Source organism: Homo sapiens, chromosome 8 (genome assembly GCF_000001405.40).
Source record: "Homo sapiens chromosome 8, GRCh38.p14 Primary Assembly".
NCBI lineage: Eukaryota > Metazoa > Chordata > Mammalia > Primates > Hominidae > Homo > Homo sapiens.
Window position 1 is genome coordinate 118,652,775 of NC_000008.11, and position 14,971 is coordinate 118,667,745.

The 14,971-nt window shown below is 37.1% G+C and overlaps 1 long non-coding RNA gene across 1 annotated transcript in view; it reads left to right on the top strand.

Moving 5' to 3' along the window:
• SAMD12-AS1 (SAMD12 antisense RNA 1) overlaps positions 1-14,971 on the top strand; it is a 105,067-nt gene that overhangs the window by 31,774 nt on the left and 58,322 nt on the right. The window lies entirely within an intron of this gene.

The window sequence follows — 14,971 nt, forward strand, 5'->3', positions numbered from 1 at the left end:
GCAGCAGTGCTCTCTGTACTATTATTTACTGGATCTTTTTCTTTAAATAATTCATTTATTTCTTATTAGGTACATTTATTTTGCATATTTAATGCTAATTTTTGTAATACACATTAAAATAAAAGCGTAACTATAAAAAACTTACATTTGTCGGTAAACCCCAAACTAGATGCCTTTGAAACCTAGCATTACATAGAAATTCTTAAGCCAAATGAAAGACAAAAACAAAAACAAAACTATGTATGTGGGATCCTGACCCCTAGTCCTGTGAACCCCTGGGTCACTTGACTTCGCATAGTCTTTCTTGAAGGAAAGGATATTGCCCCATTTGTGGAGTATCACCCTGTGTCTCCTCATAGGAGATCATAAGGCCTTCCTCTTCCATGGATGAATTTGCTCATCACCTCGCAGCAACCTACCGGGACAACCAGGTGTAAACCAAGACTAAAGCAAATGGGGATGTATGGTAGCGCTACCTTGTCCTCACCCTCACTGCCGTGGTTTTGTACTTCCGAAATAAAGCATCAGCTCTTAATTATTTCCTCTGGCTCAATTTTCTAGGGATCAAGCAAAGACATCCCTTTCTCTCATATATACACTTGGTCTGCGGAAGTTATGATTCTGCCCGTGGGATCACAGTTGATTAAAGGCATCTGAATCAAGATAGATCCGTTTCCTTCTTGTTGGAATATGGAATTTCAACCTAGAGAAAAATGTGTTAGTTTGATAGGACTGCCATAACAAAGTTCCACAAGCTGGATGGCTACTGGAGAGGAGCAGTGATTAGTTTCTTTCAGGGTCTGAGCAAAAAGCAGATTGCAACTATATACTCGATGAAAAATAAGCAGTGGCTAAATTAGAGGAAACCATAAAGCAAACATCTTAAGTAGAAGCAAATACCTGAAGCAACGGACCTTTATTAATCAAGGCTGTAGACAGATGTAGGAATTTTATAATACCTGTTGATACTGTAAGTGTACCTTGGTATGTTACTTAATGGAGAAATGAAAACCATGTTTAATAAAGCAATGTTGGAAAACAGCTTCATCAGTCAGATTTACCTCCTTAAACTCTGGGCCAATTTAAGATCTTTGCAAGCCTTAGGCTCTCATACTTCTGGAGGCCCACATCATATCAAATACATTTTCATAAGGGAAATGAAACATTTTAATTTATATATAACTGTCTTAAGATTTGTCTTTGAATAGTTAAAAATGATACCTTCTGTAGATTTAATAGTAGCATTTACTAATTCCTATTTTGCAATTTCCTTTTCCAATTATAAACTAGATACTTTTTTTGTTGCTTTGTGTGCATGTGAGTTTTGAAAATTTTATAGGCCCTAGGCATTGTGCTTTTGGTGTCTAGTGGAAGAAATGGATTTGTTTGTGTCTTAATACTTAAAAATTTTTTACTGATTCTATAATTATGTTTCTCTTAGCAACTACAAAACATAATTAAGAAGTGGTATAGTATTTAAAAGGCTGTAACATTTGCACTCAAGAAAAGTGTCTAGAAGTAATCTCATGTTCCCACAAACATAAGAAGTAGTTCTGTATAAAGCTACTGTTAATAGCCCGTGCAGTGAAAAATAATCTCTAATTTAAAGAATACTTTATTATAAAGGGCAACTAGAAAAGCTACCTTTCATGATTAGCTGATGCACATGGCATCAATCTATCTTATTCCGACTCAAAATATGTTCAAAAGCACAGCATATAACCATACTGTAGTTCAGGCTACTTATGTAGTTTCTACATTTTTGACATAAAATAAAATTATGATAGTGGAAAGGAAAATGACTAGGTACAGTTGTAGATATGGCATTTCTTGCTTAAAAATAAAAGTCAGTTAACAATGTGGCCATTTGAATGTATCTCTATTTTCCCATATTAGGATTTCATCCAAAAGAGTGGGCTCACCATTCCTCAGATGGAGTGCTCAACTAATTTAATACAGTTATACAAGACTAGTCTCACAGTGTTTGTTGGGGTTCAGCTCAGGGTACTTTTGGGAGCTTTTTCTCCTCTCAGATCTACTATAACATTTGTGTTTCATTTAGCTCATGACTGAATACAATTTTGCATTGTTTGTTAATTGCTTTCTGTCTGACCCTTCAGGAACAGTAGGCATCTTGAGGGAGCATCTATCAGCTTGTATCTAAGTTAGAAAAGGAACTCCACTGAACACAAGCATGGCTGCTTGAGTTTTCCTGAATATACAGATATTTGCCTTGCTTGTAATAGCTCAGGTAGCCACACAGCTCTCTCAGGCCTGCTAGTCTATATTCAAATAGACTGAATCAATACTTATTGATCTGAATCAAATTAATTCTTCCCTTTTCTCAATCCATCAATTAATCAACCAACCAACAAATACCGGTTGAACTCCAACTATATTCGTAGTACTATTTTCCCAAAGAGCATATTTTACAATAAAATGGCTGAATCGAATAAACACCAATTTAAGATCTACAATTTGGGGACAGATATGAAACACAATAGTATTCTTTGTTGGCAAATGAAAAGCGATGTTAGGTGAAATAAGTCCTCTCCCATGTGTGTTGTATGATCTTTATAAAATTTGATAATATTTATCAAAAGCCCAGCAAATTTTCTTAAGAGACAGCTTGGAATACTAGTTAGGAGCATGTACTTGAATTCAAATCTCAATTCCATTACATACTCATGTGTGATTTTAGGATGTTACTTAATCTCACTGCCCCAACTTTCTCATCTGTAAAATAATTTACAATAACCTATAATAGTACTGATCTCTTATAAGGATAAAATAAACCAATATTATTAAAGTTAACAGTATCTGCCATATAATATGAATTATATAGGCTTCTAAAATATCTTTTGACACAGTATTTGGGCTTATGGAAACTTTGAGTAAATAACCAGAGATGGGAAAAAGGATTTAGGCATAAGAAGGAAAAATTAAATCCATCTTAAAGTAAAACAAGATAGAAATGGTTAAATTCATTAGAGTATATTCATATTAGAGTGTATTATACAGCCATGAAAAATTAGATTTTCAAAGAATATGGTAATGGAGAAGTTCTTAGATACAATGTTATGTTTTAACGAGAGTATCCAAAGTTGCCTATAGGCATTATAATCCTAATGCTCTTAGAAGGCACATAGAAAAGTGCTAAAAGAAAATATCAAAATATTAATGGTGATCATCTCAGGGTACTAAATTAGGAATAATTTTATATTTTATTTTTTATCTTTTCCATAGTTTCAAAATTTGCCACAAACATGTACATTATTCTTACATTTAGAAAAAAGAAGGAAAAATATATATTAAAGAAGTATACAGAGAAAAGTGGTGATCAATGAATTTTATTTCCTTTAATAAATTTTAATTTTTTTCTGAGTTTCTGAGTAAACAGAATGGGAATCTCAAATACATCCAAAGAGTAACAACTTTCAAATAAAAAAAATTTTAAAGTCTAATTATTAGAGAGTATCCTTTAATAAACAGCATTAAATACATGTGTATACATGTGTATATGTAAATACATACACACAGAGGGGTATATATTTTTAAGGGGGAATATATATATATATGTGTGTATATATATGTGTATATATATATATGTATATAATTAAGAAGCTTAAATGAATCATGCTCTGGCCAGGGGGTGATGAAGCAAAAACTGATGAGTTTTGGATAAATTCAGCAATAACTCAAGTCAGTAGACTGGTAGGACTCAAAGCCAAGTTTCAGGGAAGAAAAAACCAAAAACTAGAGACATGATCTTGGGAGCTGGTAATTTACAAAGGCTAAATATTATTGCAAATCTGACAAATGACAGAACTGAAACTCACTCCATCATCTGCCAGCTAAGTGACAGAATCCCCATGCAGGCCTAGGGGGTTGCTTATTCCACCCAATAGCCTCCCTTTCCTGGAGATGTGAGTTATGAGCTCAAATCCCTAAGTTTCTTAATGAAAATTGTACCTTCAAATGCTTTCAAATTTTTTCTTCTTTCATTTCCTAGCTTGGAGGAAAATAAAGTATGTCTTCATAGTGGGTGTCCAAGGAATATTTATGGCCTAGGCAATTGCTACCTGGATTTTCTTAAAATAATATGAAAGGAAAATAAAAGATGCTCTGAACACTTGTAAACCTGCCCACTGAATCAAAGAATACCTAGAAGCACTTGGTGGCTAACATAATAATTACCGGTTGTAATGGCTGAGGTGTATTTCTTTCTCATTTTTATAGAAGCTGTGTGCCTGTAGTCCAAGAACTAGAGAACGTTACATAGGAAAATCTTAAGGTTAAAGACACATCCTTTTTATAGGAAATAGGCATGAGATAAATGCTCACCCACTTTAAAAAAGAAATCGATAATTGTAATTCACTTGAAAGAAAGCAGTCTTAATTTATAAGCTTTAAAAGAAACTGTCTTTACTATACTGCAGAGTATTCTAAGTGTGTATCATAGCTAATATTTTATGCATACATTTTTCAGTTGAAGGCATTTGCTATAATTCAGCTTTAACAAACTCTGTTCTCAGCTGTATCTCAGAGTATGACATATATCCATTGTCCAGCTATAAATCTGTAGTTGTTATTATACTTTTATGAATCTGATTCATGCAGGAAGCATTATCCCTGCAACTTTAATTAAGGAGTTAGGAATTTTCCTGTTTGAATTCCTGGCATTCTGCACACTTTATTGCATCTTTGCTCGTGAGCCTCAAATGAGATATTTGGATTACAGATCCTTAGAAGAATAAAATCCATAAGCTCTAAATCAGGAATGGGTAAGTGGATTTGATCCAGCTTTAGAACTGACTTTGATGGTTCAAATTGCATTGAGTCTCTTAGGATTAGGTCAATCATTAATATCTAAATTTTTAAAGCCATAATTATAGGCATTTATTGGTATCAGGATATTAAAATGCAGACTTTTGTTGTTTGGCTTCTTATTTCTGGAAAGCACGCCAGTCTCTTACTTGGGCTTGACTAAAGCCAAGATTCTGTTGGACTCAAGATCAATATGACAAAAATCAGATACAGGGCAGAGGGAATGGCCTGTTACATTAGACACTGTTACTTTTAATATAATGAGCTTGGAATATATCTTTGCGCATATGTGCAGGTGATTTTACACAATTACACGTTTCTATACCATTATAGCTCTAGGTTGGCTGCCTCATTAGACATCTTGCATTACCATCTCATTCCTGATTTCCTGTTCTAATGCTACAAATACAAACAATGTAATAATAATACCAGCTCCTAAATACCAGCCCTGGTCTAAGAGTTTTGTATGTTAACCCATTGAATGCTTCTAACAAACCAATGAGGTCATTACTATGATTATCCCCATTTTATAAATAAGAAAACTGGGAAAATGAGAGGTTAAGTAACTTTCTCAAGACCACAGAAGCAGAAGATGGCAGAACTACAAATCTATGCTCAGGCAGGTCTGGCTCCAGTTTTCACACTCTTAAGCACAATGCTACACTGCCTGTACTAATAGAACTGGCAGTACATATTTATTGAGCATCTTTGAACAGCACTTCCCTGTCCTATCAGGAACATGTTTGAGACTGTGATGTTGACCCTAAGGAGCTTGCAGTCTGGTCATGAGACAAGAAGTGCACACAGGAAAAACTTACGAATAAATACATGCCGTGTTATTAACATTTATTGAATAATTGGTCTGTTCCTTCTACCATACTATTAACTAAATGCATGTAACCATCTGTAAGGAGTCAACGGTTTTTTTCTATGTTTCACAAGAGAAGAAACTAGAGATAAGTAACTCAAGTCCCACAGCTAGTAAGTAGCAGAGATGAGGTTGGACCTAGGCAGCTTGAATCCAGAGCCCTTGTTCTTAATCACTGTATTATCCTGGATGTGAACAAGTCTTCAAATGCATGTGGCAAGTAGCTGAAAAGCACTATAAGAGCTTCGCAAGAGTAGGAAGGGTGAAGAATCCAGTTAATCAATTACTTAGCTAATTAATTAATTCAATATTTATTGGTTATCTTCATTGTCTCCAGCTAAAACAGTTGGCTCTGAAATGTTGTTGGCTCTTTAAACTTAAGTATGGTCTGTTTTGTTTCCAGAGCCCTGCACATTGCCTGCCAAGAATATCCCCTGTGCTCTGCCTTCCCTGGCACCATCCCACTCACTAACTTTACCACCTCTATTAGCAACATTGTATGGCTAATTCCCATTCACCTTTCTGGTCTCAGCTTGGATCCTAAAGCCTCTGTAAAGACTTTTTGCCCCTCCAAGAGATGAATGGGTGCACTCACATGTAATCCCGCTCCATCGTAGCACCTACTATACTGTGTCATGATTGCAGGTTTCCTTTTCCATCCACCTACTTCATGCCCTGCTCTGCCATATCTGTCCCTGAACCAGCACTCCCTAACCCACCCCAACAAGTCTCTGAGCTTGAGTATTGGAACTGGGTCTTACTTCTGTTGAATTGCAAGCTTCTAACGCAAAGCCCAACATATAACTGTTGTACAGATATGTTTTGGTTGAATGACTTAGTTCTATGTGCCAGGCACTGTGCATTAAAACACTTAGTATGTGGCAGGCATTGGCAACACATCAATTTCCAAAATCTCATTGAACTCTGATAATAATCCTCTGAGGTATATTATTATTTCTATTTTACAGGCAAGAAAATTGAGAATTAAGGGCATTAAATAATATCCTCAAGGTCATATAGTAAGTGAGGAGTTGAAATTAGAAATTATGTCTGTTTGACCCTAATCCTCTGCTCCATATGAATCAATCATTGCAATATAGTTTCTTAAAGTCATAATGAAGTTATAATAAGGCATACAGATGATGTAAAGGAATCAGAAATTATCTTCTCATGATTCGTGGGGGTGGACAGCAGGATCTTTGCAGGGAGGTGATCCTGAAGAATAAACCTGATACACAGAGAGGGATCAGCACATTCAAGTGTCATGAGCTGTAAAATGTCCTGGCCTCTTTCTTCAGGGAGTGGTGTGGATTATTCTGTAACTGGAACACAGAGTGCAGGGGAGAAGCAGCCGAGGTGCTTGGAATGGAGTATCAAGGGTACAAGAGCCAATCTAATGCAAGCGGGGGATCTGGCAGGAGTAGAGGAATGACCAAGGGATGTATCTGCCTTAATTCTAAGAAGGCGAGCGTGTGCTCCCAGGGGAAGAGTGGCATTATCAAACTCTGGAAGGCATGCTAAGTTCAGAGTGAAGTCAGGTGGTGAATCAGTTGACAAATAGAGGAAAATAATTTTCCCTCCATAATGCATAAGAAACAAGAGTCCAAAGCCTTTCACTTTGTCAGCAACTCTTCGAATCACATACTATAGACAGTTGAGTGGAGACTGGAAGGAGTGGAAGAGTAATTACTGAATACATCGGACATCCCCTCTATTCCTTCTCATTCTCCTCCTGTAACACATGCTACTTTATCTACTGTTAGTATTATGTATGTGCTAGACACCACACTACACACATACTTTTGTTTATTTTCCTCGATCCTTCCATTGTGGAGAGTATTAGTACCCCCACTTTCTGGATAGGAGAATGACCGATCAAAGAGGCTAAGTGACTGGTCAAGTCTCGTAGCTAATTACTAACAGCCCAGATTAACCCCATGTGTATATGACATCAAAGTCTATCATCTTAACTGATTTTATGTAGATTAAATAATACCAAATATTCAGTGCCTCCTCGGAGTCAAACACTTTATCTACCCGACACATAACAAATATGATAAGATATTTGCTCTGTCCCTAATCTTTTAGTTCATTAATTCTTAAAAAGTAAAGATTTGTCTAAAATTCACGTGCTATTTTCTCTGGAGCAATTTCTTCCCTGTTTTCCTCTACCTCATTTTCTAATTCCACATTTAGAAAGCATGGGATATTTTGATTATTTGCTGAGATATTAGAAATTCTCTTTTAGAATCTTGTATTTGCTTTTGAAGTCCACAGTTGGAGCCTAAGAGAACAACTTCATGAAAGAGCTTTAAAAATTAATATGTGGTGTCAGTTGCACTCTCGGTCCCCTTTTAATGAGAAAGGGACAGGTTATTGTGCTATTACACAGTACAGCCTATTCCTGGAAGCCATCTTAAGCTGTTCAGGATAATGTATCTCTACACTGCATCAGTCTCTTTGTTCCATAGATGCTGTTTTTTAAAGAATGTTATGAACAGCAAATGGCTCCTTAGAACATTGTAATCACTCAATCTGGATTTTCCAGCATTCTTGGTATAAGGAAGGATAAAATGCCCATGAGGCAGTGCCAATTTTTAAAGGATGGTTAACTCCAGATTTCACACTCTTGGGGCATTGTGAATGCCTGGATCAAGGTCTGATATGTTCCAGCTAATGTGCTAGAATAAATAAATACTTAGACTTCCATTAGAAGGAAGACTGGGAACAAAAGAGTACATCATTCATTCATTTAGTCAATCAACAAATATATAAGGAGTGCCTATTCTATATTGAGCACTGTTGAAGGTGCTGAGGATACAAAATTGTTACCCTCAAGGTGCTTACATTATCCAAGAGAAGACAGATAATAAACCAAAAATATATTAGATTATATCAGAAAAATAAATCAAGATAAGGAATGATACGAGTGAGACACTATTTTATAGAATGAGCAGGAAAAGGCCTCTCTAAGTTACATCTCAGCTGAGATATTAAGGAAATGATTGATCAAGACAGGCAAATGTCAGGGGAAGAGTGTTTCCAGCAATCATGGCAAAGTTCCTGAAGTAGGAGTGCTTTTAGGGAACAGCATGGATGCCCCTGTGGCTGGAACAGAGAGAGTAAGGGAGAATGACAGGAGATGTCATCAGGAAGATGCAGGGGAGAGGCAGGGAAAGTTTGGGTCAAAGGCCATCAAGCCTCATATAAGCCCTTGGTAAAGAATTTAAATATTATACTGTGTGAATTGGAAAACCACTGCAGAAGGTTGAGCTGAGGAGTGACATGATCTGACTCACCTTTTTCAAACATCTATCTGCTCAGCATAGAATCAATGTAGGGGCAGATGTGAAAGCAGGGCAGCCATAGATCGAAGACTGTGTTCATCTGGGCAAGACATGCTGCTGCTTGGACCAGGGTTATAGGGGTAGAGATGGCCAGTGGTGGTTTCATTTTACATATTTAGAAAGAAGAGCTGTTAGAATGTGCTAAGAGGTTGGATGTGAAAGGGAGTAATCCAGATTTCTTTTAACTGTATACCTGGAAGAATGGAAGTGTTATTTAGTGAGACAGGAAAGATTTCAGGAGAAACAGATGGAGAGTAGGGGAGCATTATCTCAGGTTTGGATATCAGTGTGAGATATGTGGTGGACATCTGTGTGGAGTTGTAGAGGAGGCACTTCTGTAGTGAGTCTGGAGGTCAGCAAGAGGTCTGCGCTGAAGATTTGAATTTGGGATTCATGAGTCTGTAGTTAATCCATGAGACTAGATAAAACCATCCAGGTCAGTGTTGGTAGAACACAAGTTCTTGACCTGTCTCTTCAAGGGGTTCAGTTATATTATCAACCTGGTATAAAACCCCCAACATGTTTTGTTTTCATTCCATCCCTTCCGAGGGTGCAAAGTTTCTATGCTTTTCCTAAAACAATTTAAAGTTAAGTGCCACTCAAGCTAACTACAAATCTTTTTTCTGAAATTCTAAGAGCTTTAATAGAGAACAGCAAAGCGGATGGTAGACTCTGCAGAAACAAAACAATTCTGAGCGGCTTTCTTGCTTTACCTGTGATAAAATGAATCGGTATGGCCCAACCACATGGGGGCGCATTCAGAATGCCCATTTCTCCTAAATATCTACCAGCATCACAAGTGTGTTCCTGGATTCTTATCAGTCGTAATGGTAGCTACTGATCAAGGCCCCAGAGCCATATTGACTTTTGTAAAGGACTTTATACTGAATGTTTATTTAGTAAAGTAGAGGCTTGAAAGGAGAGCTATGGATACCCCATACTAGGGGAGGCAAGTAAGAGAATGCATAGTGAACCACACGTCTGAAAGTGAATGGTGAACACATGTATATTCCACTGTAACTTTTATTCATGAAGAAAAGATGTCATAGTAATTGTGAAAGGGAACAAATAAACTGTTTCTACACGAAGTCTCCAAAATAGAATCTGTTGAGATGTGGATGAGACTTGGAGTATTTGATTCAATAGGATGGAAGGACAAAGCGGAGATATATTCTACTAGGCTGCAGCAGGTCCATGCAGTGCAAAGTGCTTTCCAGAGGTGGGAGAAGGTCTAGCCAGGCAGGTATATTAAGGGCATGTGGACAAATAATGGTAGATGGTCATGCAGTTGAAGGATGACATAGGTTACAGTGGTGCATTGACTGCAGCAAAGCCTGGTAAAGGAGGCACCAGAAGCACAAAACTCACCGAAGTTGAAACTGGGAGTTCTAGCTTGGAAGTAATTAGCCACAAGCCTAGGTCAGAGCCAGGACTCCAGTTTTAGGACATAAGGAATGGAAACCCAGGGCTATCGGAACAAAGCCAGGAAGGTAATTTGATCTTACATTTATGTAGACCCTTAAGTTTAGAATTTTTGCTTTATCTCTTGTATCAGTCAGAGTTGTATCAGGAGATAAATGCCATTGTCAAATTGAGTAATTTTTGGAGAGCCTAAGGAAGGGACTATTATTAAGGTGTTGACCATATATAGAGATACTGCAAGGGATAGTGCATTTCCCTGGAGGTAGAACAGTGGGGGAGCTGTTACCATCCACAGATGTGAAGAGTTGCAGGGGAGAGCTATAAGCAAAACTTGGAGACAGAAGCTGTGTGGAGAAGAAACCCTGTATGAGCTCTGAGTGTAGGTTGAGAGAGGCAGACAGCCCATGGTGACCCAGCTAGGTTAGAGCTAGGGGCATATATTTCTGACCCAATCTCACTAGCCCCCAACCTCTTGCTACTGTTCTGCACTGGCAAACTCAACAGGAAGCCATGGGCAAGGGAGCATGGTGAGCTGTTTCTACAAGTCAGCCTCAGCACAGAGCAGGGTAGAGGGGTGATGAGTGGATTTGCAGGGACTAAGGAACATCATCCAGTACATCTCCCGATGAGAATACATGCATAGAAAATACATGAGCAGATGAAAAAAATTTAAAGAGAGAACACAAACAAGCATAGGTGATCAGAGTGTAGAGTCACTGGTTGTATCATTTTATATCGGAGTCCCATTCCTGCTACATTTCTTGTAATGCATTTTGAATTTATTTTAGAAATTAATTCTATAATTTTCTTGTGACTAACACAATCATATTGTGTTGAACTTTTTGCATGTTAAAAACATCTTTCTACACCAAGTCTCCAAAATAGAATCTATTGAATAAAAAACAGTTTATTCAAAGTAAACATTTAAAGAATATCACAATTTAAAAACTCTTTTGGAATTGCGTGTGTGCACCATTTTTTAAACATCTGAGAGACTTCACCTCTACCAAGCACAAGGACAAAGTTGTGTTCCAGCTTCAGAGAGATTGGCTTCCCAGTCATGCATCCAAGCAGACAATCAGGTGCAGAAGAATGAGACAGGAATCATTTGTCAGCACGGAGATGAAAGATGGGCGTCTTGATTGAAAGACTGAACATCAAAAGTAGGGCAAAAGACCAAACACAGGCCAGAGTTGAGCAGACTCCATAGTTGTTATTGAGTTCTAAATTGGGATTCTCTCAGTGTTCTCTGATGAAGGATCAATTAGTCATAGAACCTAGAGAATAGAGCTGAGTTTCGATGAGGGGACCAGGCAGCCCCAGGTACTGATGAGAGACAGAATATGAATGCAGGGAACCAAGCAAGTGGTGGCAAAAGCATTTGACAATCACAACCATTTTTCCAAAAGTAGCTGCTTCTAGTTGTGTGCCCACCTGGGTATATGATGCTAACCTGGGGAGGAGAATCAGATTTTTCTTAATGGCATGCTAATTTATTTGGCCTGACACCAAAATTGTACCTTCTAGAACAATTAATTAAGTCACACATTGGGTGAGGCTGATAGAAACTAGAAATTTTATTTCGAAGCTGAGTTATCTCATATAGTGGTTTCTAGAAGTTTCAAATAATCTTGAACATGTGAAGTCTGAATCCTAATGCCATCTGTGATGTTTTAAAATTTTAGTCATAGCATTTAAATGAAAGTAACTGTGATTTTAAAATAGTGATCATAGATGGTAGGTATACAGCAGATATTGTGAATTTTTTCATAGGTATTATTGCATGATACTAGCAGGCAGTAGCAAAATAAATTATCTTTTTTTTCCTGTATTTGTACCATGTGGTTATTACCTTGATTTTGAATAGTTTGAAAAATGATTAATTTTGCCAGAATTAATTTGGAGGCTTTTCTATACCAATAATTAATATAGCTATTGAGATTATAACACTAAATAATTATCAATAATAATTTAATTTTATACTAAAATACTATAAAATTTAAAATATCCCTCAGAACACATTTACATAATGAGAAATGTAATGCTCTCAGTTTAAGTAAAATTTGTTCAGAATGCTGAATTTTGTTATTTTGTATGAACTTTTAGATGATGAAATGCATAGGCTGTTTCTGCCCTGAGAAATGAAAGGACAAATTTAAAGAATTATAATTTAGGAATGTAATTTTTTTTTTTTTTTTTTACAATAGCCAGATAATTGAGGTCAAAGGGAAGTTCTATTTTTTTTTTTTTTTTTGAGATAGAGCCTTACTCTGTCACCCAGGCTGGAGTGCAGTGGTGCTATCTCAGCCTCCTGGGTTCAAAGGATTCTTCTGCCTCAGCCTCCTGAGTAACTGAGACCACAGGCGCGCACTACCACACACGCTCAGCTAATTTTTGTATTTATTTACTTATTTATTATTTTTAGTAGAGACAGGGTTTTACCATGTTGGCCAGGTGGCCTCAAGTGATCCACCTACCTCAGCCTCCCACGGTGTTGGGATTACAGGCATGAGCCATAGTGCTGGACTCAAAGAGAGGTTTGATGGAGAATTATTTGTCTCAGTTTTTAACTGTATTCTATGAATGTACATATATGTCAAAATATACTTCTAATAGTTTACTAAAACTTGTTATTTCTCAACTAACTGTGTGCTTTATTTAGAAAACAAATATATTAACATAAGCAGAAAATAAAAATTATCTATAATCACACAATCTAGAGAAAACAAGCATGTAACTATATTGTACTCTATTTTTTAATGTGAATTATCAAAAAGTGACCATATTTGTACAGATTTTCAAAAGTCATGACTATATATAGAAAAATATGACCATATTTGTACATATTTAATTAATTTTTTTTTTTTTTTTAGAGATAGGGTCTTGTTTTGTCACCCAGGCTGGAGTGCAATGAGCTCAGGGCTCACTGCAGCCTTCACCCACTGAGCTCAAGTGACACTGCCATCTCAGCGTCCCTAGTACCTGGGACTACAGGCACATGCCACCATGCCTGGCTAATGTTTTATTTTTTGTAGAGATGGAGTCTCACTATATTGCCCAGGCTGGTTGTGCTCTCCTGGGCTTAAGTGATCCTCCCACCTCAGCCTCTCAAATTGCTGGGATTATAGGCATGAGCCACCATGCCTGACCTAGGTACATATTTTTAATAAAAAATATTTTTACAGGCTGGGTGTGGTGGCTCACGCCTGTAATCCCAGCACTTTGGGAGGCCAAGGTAGGCAGATCATGAGGTCAGGAGATCAAGACCATCCTGGCTAACATGGTGACATCCTGTCTCTACTAAAAATACAAAAAATTAGCCGGGCGTGGTGGCACGCGCCTGTGGTTCCAGCTACTCAGGAGGCTGAGGCAGGAGAATTGCTTGAACCCAGGAGGTGGAGGTTGCAATGAGCCAAGATTGCGCCACTGCACCCCAGCCTGGGCAACAGAGCGAGACTCTGTTTCAAAAAAAAAAAAAAGAAAGAAATATTTTTTACAACACTTTTCATTGTTTTTGTGTCTCTTAGTGTCTGCTCCTTGGGTTAAAAGTTTTTATTTTAGATTGATTCTGAGTTCTGATATTTCAAATGATTTATTTAAACTAAATACCTTGTTTTTCAATAAGCCCAATTAACTGTAGTTAATCACATAAAATTGTAGGATCTCAGGGTAGAAAAAACTTAAAAAGAAGTAAGCCAATTGAGCTCTAGTTCTGATGCCAGATGTCTTCTTCAATATTCTTGCTGTGGTTATGAAGCCTGGGGTTGATTGCCTTAATGAGAGGCTCACTTCCTTTTGGAGGATGTCCATCTTGAAATAATTTTTGCTACTAGAAAATATTTCCTTATGTTGTTCTACAATTTATCTTTATACAGTCTCTCACCTTCAGAAACATCAGAGAAGGTCTAGTCCCTCTTCTGCAAGGACAGCAGCCCAACCACCAAAGTAAACACAGCAGCAGATTTCCCCTATCCTCTCAGCTTCTTTCTCTGTGTTTCCTCCTCTTTAGCATCAATGCCAAACGTTCCCTAAGGCCGTCTTTGTTTCAAAGTTTCAAAATATCTGATCAACTGTGTTAGAAACAACGGACCAAGTTATTATTCCATTCTTATAGAAACTATCAGTTTTGTGTAGGAGTATCATTTAAATTAGATTCAAATTTGTCATGATAAGTAATTGCAATATTTATTTTTTCTAGAGAGACAAAGTTCAATGAATTGCTGCATTGAAATCGGGCAATGTAGTTTGCAATATTTTTCTTTCAGTGATGTTTTATGGGGCTATTAAACCTAATACTTAATTCAATAAGTTTTATTTTAAGATCTTAGATTCATTTGCTATATTTATGTATCACCAGCCACTGGACAGGGGATAATCCTAAAATTCTTAGCTCCTCTACTATCCTAATATGTTGATAGTATAATACATAATTTGACAAATTACCTAGTACCAAGATCTGGCTCTTTGAATACACTGCATTTAAAGGCAAAAAGCTCCAAATCTGCAT